Genomic DNA, 1,725 nt, shown 5'->3' with positions numbered 1-1,725 from the left:
GACAGAGAGAGAGAATGCACATCCCAGATGGAAGCCACATGCTTTTCATCATCTGCTCTGGGGACTGATATCCCATCATTCCTGTGGTAGCCCATCTCTTAGAAGTGAATCACTGTGACCAGCACATACTTGTGGGTGGATCACACAAGTGCATGATTAGTGTGTGGGCTGCCAGAGAGGCTGCCTGAGACGGGCTCCTTTATATAAAAAATTCACTTCCTTGAGAAATGAGGGTCAGAACTCTCCTTTGCTATGCTGGGATCTCTTCTCAACAACCAGGGCTCAGCTGAGCCAGCACTGCTTCCTAGAGCCATGAGTTGTGCTCAACCCAGCCAGGGAGTCTCCTGAGCCACATTGGAGTGCAGTCCCCTATTGCACACCCATCAGTGCCCATCAGAACTCCTCCCATCAGAACATCCAGTGACCTGCAGGAATCACCATCAGGGGCCCAGCAATAGGGGAGATTCTCCTTTTCTGGGGGGCTGGGGCAGTAGACAAGGAGATGGCTCCGGCTGCCTTAGGTGCAGCCCAGTTTCCAATCCAAGCTCCATCTCTTACCATGTCTCTTCAAGCCCCGTATCTGACTTTTCTGGCCCACAGCTTTTTTTTTTTTTTTTTTGGTAGCTTGGGACTAATAGCACCTACCTCTTAGGATTATGGATTATGGAGGGAATGAAATGAAGAAATGCATAGAAACGTCCCAGGACATGGTAGAAAATATGAAATGAATGTTTTCTTGTTGTCATTGATTTTTATAAGGGAATAGTTGTTAGTGATGTTTCATATACAGGGCTCAGCCTTTGTGTGAAATGACAAACAAGTGCTGTTTGAGTTATCAGGCTAGCCTGGGCTTTAACCAGCAGTGAATTCCGAGTCACTTTGGGGAAAATGCTCTGAGTTCCAAAGTGTCTGGCTTGGAATGAGCTTTTGAATAATAGCTTATGTTAATTTGGGGACAGCCTGTGAGAGTTCAATTTGCTTCCTGTACTTACTAATGATTTTAACTAGAACTCCTGACAGAAACATTATTTTAGTCAGAATGCAGGAAATATTCCTGGAATACAAAACCAGAATTCTGGAACCAGGCCTGCTACCAATTGTGGGGGTCATTCTGGGCAGGTGGCTTGATTTCAATTGGCCTCATTTTTTCCAAGTTTACAATGAAAGAGGCATATGGATGAAGCAATTTCCAAGGCCACATCTGATAAAATTCTATGCTATTCATCTTTTTCTAAACAATCATGTCATGGAGGAAATCACCCAGCAAAGCAGAAAAGATTTTCTAAAATATCCCCGTAACTTTTCTGTGTCATTTAGGAAGAACTGATAGTCTCTAAGTCAAACCAGGTTTATTGAGCCAGATGATTTTGCTGCTGCTTGCAAATCACAATGGAAAGTAGTGGAAAGTCTTTCTTTAATAGGAACTGGTAACTGTTGGAGGATGCTAGTGACTGACTTATTTTGAAAACAAGTAAGGTAAGGGGCAGAATCAAAACTGTACTGTGTTTTTCTCAGATTGATGGTACCCATGGCTAACCAAATAGTGGATGACAAGGTTTTTGTTTATAGTATTCCAGCTAATAAATGAAGAAGGAAGAACAGAGTTAGAAGAGGATCATTTTGTGATCCCAATGAATTAATGGACCTAGGCATAGACTACCAACAGCTGCTAACATCATGGAATGAGAGATGGCCCGACCCTGTGCACCTCCTCATAGGGGCTCA

This window comes from Homo sapiens, chromosome 5 (genome assembly GCF_000001405.40).
Source record: "Homo sapiens chromosome 5, GRCh38.p14 Primary Assembly".
NCBI lineage: Eukaryota > Metazoa > Chordata > Mammalia > Primates > Hominidae > Homo > Homo sapiens.
The sequence above is the reverse complement of the archived record's forward strand: the minus strand, read 5'-3'. Positions refer to the sequence as shown.